This window comes from Homo sapiens, chromosome 2 (genome assembly GCF_000001405.40).
Source record: "Homo sapiens chromosome 2, GRCh38.p14 Primary Assembly".
NCBI lineage: Eukaryota > Metazoa > Chordata > Mammalia > Primates > Hominidae > Homo > Homo sapiens.
Genome location: NC_000002.12, coordinates 20831819 through 20839538, shown reverse-complemented (window position 1 = coordinate 20839538; position 7720 = coordinate 20831819).

Below are 7720 nucleotides of genomic sequence, written 5' to 3'. Positions count from 1 at the left end.
GTCAGCACTTTTAGGGTATCCATCACCGAAATAACATACATTATATCCATTAACCAACTCTTCATCATCCTCCCCCTTCTCACCTCCAGACTCTTCCAAGTCTCCATTATCTATCATTCCACTCTTTACAACAATGTGAACAAATTTTTAGCACCCAATTATGAGTGAGAATATGCAGTATTTGTCTTTCTATGTCTGTCTTGTTTCACTTATGCTAATGAAATCCAATTTCATCAATGTTGCTGCAAATGACATGATTTCATTTTTATGGCTGCATAGTATTCCATTGTGTATATATACCACATTCTCTTTATCCATTCATCTGTTGATGGACACAGGTTCATTCCGTATCTTTGCTATTTTGCATAGTGTTTCAATAAATATATGAGGGCAGCTATCTTTTTGATATATTGACTTGTTTTCTTTTGGGTAGATGCCCAGTAGTGAGATTGCTGGGTTGAATGGTAGTTCTATTTTTAGTTCTTTGAGAACTCTCCATACTACTTTCCATACAGGCTGTACTAATTTTCATTCCCAAGAACAGTATATAAGCCTTTCCTTTTCTCCACGTGCTCAAAATATTTATTTTCTGAGAGACATTTATAAAGATATATGATGTCATTCTCCTTATCAGTTATTTTTACCTGTTTTAAGGACTGATAAAATCAGAATTTGAAAATGACAAGAAAAAAAGTCTTTTTTTTATATTAATGAATTTCTAGAACTATGTCCCAAAGCTGATGGGTATACAGCAATGGGATTTCCTCAAAGAAACGGAGCTGTAATAGGGAAATTTTTTTGCCCAAAGACTTGGCATCAAATGAATCATGACTGTCTGCAAAATTTGTCGTATAACAAATAGCAAATTTTGCATATAGCAAAGGCACAGCTATAAATCTTTATAATAATAATTTAAATAACAAAAATTGTGTTTCAAGTTGCATAAAATGTACTTATACATTATTGGTTCAAAAGATGTTACTATATCATATTTAGATGTACATTATATATTATATGTTGTATGTTATATATAATACAATATTTAAAGGTACATACAAAGGATACATATCTATATATTTGACATGTCCTGTATTAGGCACTTGTGCTACTTTTTGCTACAATAAAAAATAATCCCGAAATCTCAACAATTTACAACAATGAAGATTTATTTCTTGCTCCCATTGCATGTCCTTCCCAGATTGGCTGCACCTCTATTCCACATCTTCTTCATTCTGGGACCCAAGACAAAGGAACACCCCAATCTGGGACATGCTGATCTTGAGGCAGAGAGAAAAGAGGAATGGCAGAATTCCACAATGGCAGAATCCCACAATGGACCATCTGTTAACATTCCATTGTCTATAACAAGCTACAACGCCAAGTTTGATGTCAATGGTGCACAAAATACAATGTCTCACTGGGAAGGGCAGAAAATTATTAAGAGTAATTTTATTGTTTAAGAGACTTCCTGAAAACATATTTATCCAAAGGGCAGATCACCCAATTATCTCCACAGGACAATGATCACTCAACTGAACAAATGTGCTTGCTTATCAAATGACTGTTTACTTGTCAGTACATCAGGAAATGGGATCTACTCAAAGCAAAGCTCAAAGGAACATTCACCGCTGGAAGATTTATATTTACAAATAGGACTCAGGTTAGAAAAAAAGAATCCCAAGGAAAGGTGAAGAGAAGAAACATACATTTTTTTAAAAATCAGTATTAAATTTAATAAGAGAAGCTTATAGAACAAATATGTAAATTCAAAAACTGTTTCTACTGAAAATCTTAAAAATATACAAACATGGCCGGGCACATGCCTGTAATCCCAGCACTTTGGGAGACTGAAGTGGGCGGATCATGAGGTCAAGAGATCAAGACCAACCTGGCCAACGTGGTGAAACCCTGTCCCTACTAAAAATACAAAACTTAGCTGGGTGTGGTGGTACGTGCCTGTAATTCCAGCTATTCGGGAGGCTGAGGCAGGAGAATCGCTTGAACCCGGGAGGCGCAGGTTGCAGTGAGTTGAGATCACGTCACTGTACTCCAGCCTGGTGACAGAGTGAGACTTTGTCTCAAAAAAATTTTAAAAAAATTTTTTAAATAAAAATATACACAAACATAAACTATTACTTAATCTTATCAAGTAGGGAAATAGGCGACATCACAAAAGCACAAAAGTTGGAAATGCTAATGGAATAACCACAAATATATTTAAAAATTGAAAGATTCAAAAACAACTATTTTGTTCAACTCTAAGCAAATAAATTTGAGAACCTGAATTAAAAGGGTGATTTTTAAGAAAATATAAATTGCCAATAATCAGAATATTATTTAAACTTTTCCAAAGCATAGATTATAAAAGAAGGGAAACTTCTAAATTATTTATATGAAGCTAGTATTATATTGGTAACAAAAATCCTAAAAGAAAGCCACAAATATATCTTACTTAAAATATCAGTATAAAATCCTATATAAAATATTAGCAAATAGAATATAGTGTCACATTAAAATAACATTTTATGATTTTTATATTTTTTAGGGGACCCCCAAAATAAGTAGCCTTCATCCCTGAGTTCTGAAAAAAAAAAAAAAACTGAATGATCAGACTAGGAATAAAGCATCTGGAGACCAAAATGTCATCTTTATTTCTGATAAAGGCTATATTAGGGTCCATAGTACGAGAGTCAAAAGGGCCTGCAAAGAAAACCCCAGAATTAGACAGACTTACCCAGGCAGTCACAGACAATGTTCTCCTGGGTTGGAGATTTTCCCAGGTTATTCTTAGATCCTGGGGAAACAAAGACCTCCCACTCCCTGTGGGAAGCTAGCTCCAAGAACACAACAGATGATTTAAGCATTCACAGTTATTTTTCCAAACTTTAGATATCAGGCAAGTCACTCCATTTTCCCTGGGGCAGGGTAAGGAAGGGATTGAAGCCTAGATTGTTCCACTAATTGAAGTCACTCACCATAGAAAGAAACATTGGAGATCAGGTGCAGGGTTTCACACCTGTAATCCCAGCATCTTGGGAGGCTGAGGCAGGAGTTTGAGACCAGCCCAGAAAACAGCGAGAACCTGTCTCTACAAAAAAGTTAAAAATTATCTGGGTGCAGTGGTGCATACCTGTAGTCTTAGCAACTTAAGGGGCTGAGGTGGGAGGATCTCTTGAGTCCATGAGTTAGAGACTATACAGTGAGATATGATCATGCCACTGCACTCCAGCCTGGGCGACAGAGTGATAATCAGTTTCCAGAAAACAAAAAAAAAGAAACACTGAGAATGGAAAATATATTCCAGCTTGTTAGTTTTGTTTTAGTTTTTTTTTTTTCTTTTTAAAAAACTCACTTGGTTTAACCATTACCCCTATGGTCTACATCCCTCAGGAGACAGACTCCTTAGGAGAGTCCTGCTCCTACCCTCCGCAGACTGTACACCAAGAACTGTTCTGTGGGTGTCCTTCAGGAACTGCTGATGGGCAAGATGGGTATTGCCCCGTGAAAGCTATGAACTGGCTCAGAACACATATTTGATCAATCCAAGGTCATCCCGTGCTCAAGATTGAAATTTTATTCTCCATTTTGTTTTCCATTTTAAATTCTGTCCTTGCTGTGTTGTCTCAAATAACCTTTCAGAGCTTCTGCAATGAGATTAAATGACAACATCAAGGTACTCCCTTAGTAAAATGTAAACACTTATTGTGCCCTGGAAGCTTCAGAATGGAACCATGAGGATGCAGTCAGCCAAATCCATTTTTAAGAGATTGAATATCTACTGGATATTAGAAGATATCAGAGTTATTGTTAATTTTGTGTGATAATGGTATTGTTGTTCTACTTTTTAAAGTCCTTATCTGTTTAACATTCATACTGATGTATCTAAAGTTAAAATAATGTGATATCTGAAATTTGCTTTTAAATATTCCAGAAAACAAACAAACAAACAAAAAATAGTGATGTGAACATACTGCAGATGTAATAAGTAAATTATCTTGAGATTCCAAGAGCCTAAGTCTGCCTAGGAAACTTAGGACAGTGATATTTGAGGATTAAAATATGTGTAGAAACTTTCTGGGCCAAAAGGGGTAGAGTAATCATGGAAGAGAATAGTATTCTAGGCAGACAGCATAGGCTATGTGAGGGTACAGAGGTTTGGAAAAGAATGTTGAAACAGACAAAACAGAGCTCAGGGCAATTCTGTGGCAGAAACTGTGCGCAACCCTAGTAAAAACATTTGAGGTAAAAGTGTTATTAGTTGTGATTGTACAGAGTTGAGACAAGTCCAATTTTCTTCACTGATCATGCTTTTTCAGACTATTTTACGTATTTGTTAAATTAATCTCCTCATCTAGAATGCAATTTTCTCTCCTTTACGCAAATACTATCTTTCAAGGCAGAGTTCAAGAATATTCTTCAGTCAAAAGCCCTTCTTACCCATTTATAGTTCGCTGGACTCCCCTTCTTCTGACTCTTACAAGTGTGCTCTTCAATATAGTTCTTGAGGATGAGCTGGTCGATAGAATGAGCACAGTTTTACATGGGCTAATATCCTCTGGACTAGAAGGAGGTTTCTCAAACCAAGGCTAGCACAATGCTTAGGATGTTATAGGACTCATCACATGGGGGCATTCTCCAAACAGGAAGAGAGCCACATCCTCACATGGGCCGCCAAAAAGTTAAAGTACCTACTTAGTCGCCACGGGCACTCTTTGGAGCTGATATATCAACCTCACCATCTTGGGAAAAGAAAGAAACAAAAGGAAGGAAGGAAGGAAGGAAAGAAGGAGGGAGGGAGGGAAGGAAGGAGGGAGGGAGGGAGGGAGATAAGGAGGGAAAGGGGAGGGGGAGGGGGAGGGGGAAGGGGAGGGGGAGGGGGAAGGGGAGGGGGAAGGGGAGGGGGAAGGGGAGGGGGAAGGGGAGGGGGAAGGGAAGGGGGAAGGGGAGGGGAGGGGAAGAGGGAGGGAAGGGAATGAATGTGGTTCCCCCATTTCCGTGAAATGTTACACAAAAGAGATGACTCCAAAATTTTAATAATATTAGAAATTCACATTTTAAAAATATTTTAGTTTAACTCTGTGAATTTCAGCTAAGAATTCTAAAGCAAACCATAAATGAAAACGGAATCTAAGAATGGATTTGAACCCTGTGCTACAGTGTGCCTATATTTTGGTGATCACAAACTGACTGTGAGAAGGCAGGCAAACATGAGACCGCTTTAAAGGTATCTAAATTCAAGAAAGCAAAAGTGTAACAGAAACCATAATAGTACTTTGGCAACAACTAGTGCTCTGAAGCTTGGGATTCTCTAGCTAATATCATTCATTTGTTTTCAAAACAGAAATGGTCTGAGCCTTCATTTAGTTGATTTATTAGTTTCCTATGGTTGCTGCAACAAATTATCACAAATTTGGCCCTTAAAACAATACTAATGTATTATCTTACAGACAGCTCTGGAGGTCAGAACTTCAAAATGGGGTTTTTTTTTGTTTTTTGTTTTTTGAGGCGGAGTCTTGCTGTGTCTCCCAGGCTGGAGTGCAGTGGCGCAATCTCGGCTCACTGCAAGCTCCGCCCCCCGGGTTCACGCCGTTCCCCCGCCTCAGCCTCCGGAGTGGCTGGGACCACAGGCGCCCGCCGCCTCCAAATCGGTTTTAATGGGCTAAAATCAAGATGTTGATGGGCCTGTGTTCCTTCTGGAAGTTCTAGAGGAACATTCACTTCCTTGCTTTTTCCAGCAATTGGCTGCCTACATTCCTTGGTCTGTGACCCCTTCCTCCACCTTCCAGCCAGCAGCGTAGCATCTTCCAATCCCTCTCTTTGACTGACAGCTGCCTCCACCATCACATCTCCTTCTCTCCCCGTGCTTCCAAAGTCACAGTATCATCTCTGATTCTGACCCTCCTGTGTCCGTCTTACACAAACCCTTGTAGTTATATTAGGCCCACCTAGAAAATCTTCGATAACCTCTCCTTTTCAAGACCCTTAACACTTCTTAATCACATCTGCAGAATCTTTTTTGTCACATAAGGTAGCATCACAGGTTCCAGGGATTAGGACATGGACATCTTTGGGGTGCCATTGCTCAGTCTACCACAGTTGGATAGGTGGATGGTATGGGAAGGAGTTTTGTCTATGAAAGATTCCATTCTTATTTTACTGGGGAATATAAAGTCTCCATTAAAAAATAAAAAGGAATGATTTGTGAAAAGTCCTGTAACAGTATTATTAACCCACAAAAGCTTTGTTGAACGGACAATAAGTTTCTGAGGAATCCAATAAAATGGGAACATACTGTACTCTAAAGGGATATTCATCTGCAGCTAGTCCTACAAATCTCTACTTTGTTTTTAATTTATAGAGATAGTTGAACTACTTCTCCCATATTTTTCTTATCCTCACCCTACCCTGTCCTGCCACTAAAAGGTTCTTTATGATGTGGTTTCATTGAGGAGGGCTGATGGGTCATATCATGGATTAATACAAAACATTTGGCATTGCAGTTATACTAAACGGTGAATTACCTTGAAAGTCTTCAAAATATGATTTTAGTTTCTCTCTATAATATACATAAACACATATATATACAAATGTATGTGAGTATATACATATATTTTGTATAATTTTTGATGGCACAAGCATCTAAATGTTGGTGTTTGCCAGGTTTTTTTATTCATTTTACAAGCCAAGTGCATGTATGAAGGCAGTACTATCAATGAATAGTCTGCCAACAAGAATCTCCAAGTCTCACAGCTCAAGTGTGCTGGCTTTCAAGACCATCTATTTCTTTGAGTCTTAGCATAATTAAATGCCAGGAGGAACAGCTTAGCTATAATATGGGAGTTAAATATGGCTTTGTCAATTTTTAGCTATTATCTCTATTCTGTGAAGATTTTTAAGGACTAAAATAATACATTTATAAATTTAAAAAAGAATGGATCTTGATTTTTAATTTATGCTTAAGATGAATCATTATGTGATCTGTTTTTCTGACCCAAAGTGTTTGAAAAAAGAATTAATGTGGATCTCAGGATATGCCAGTGCCATTTTGTGGAGGGCCGCATTAAATAATCATATGTTTTAAAGCATTTATAATTATCCCTATTTATAAATATATAAACAAGAAAATTCAGTATTAGAGCCAGTGGGAAAACATAATTCAAAATTCACTAACATTTATGACTCGTGGTCTGATCTCTAGAGTACACATTGAAGAGAAATCTTTGTCTTCTAAACTTTGAAAAAATATCTTTTTTTTCTCTCATCCCTTTGTTCTCTTTCCTTTTTCTTCCTCTTGTTGCCTTTTATATAATCATCAACCACACATATTAATTCAACAGATGTCTAAACCAGGAGTTTCCACTTTTTGTGGAATGGAATAATAAGGTAGAGGGGAACATTTTTGATTAATGAGCACAGGTCCTTCTAGCATTCTAATATCCACCAGATTATTCTCTTCTACCATGAAGATCTGAGTATTACCCATTTCTCTGGCTTGCTGTCATTGTGACATCAACAGCCTTGCTATGAAGTGTCCCCAACTAATCCCTCACCCCCACTAAATGTTCTCCAGCAATTGTGGCATTTCCTAGGAGTTTCCTTCAAGGGTCTCTGCATAGTTGATCTCAGAAATATGAGGAATGCAGCATTTTTCCTCTCTTTCTTCTCAGTGAAGTTGGCCATGAAATGCCAAAAGGTTCTGTACTATCTCCACTGTAACTCC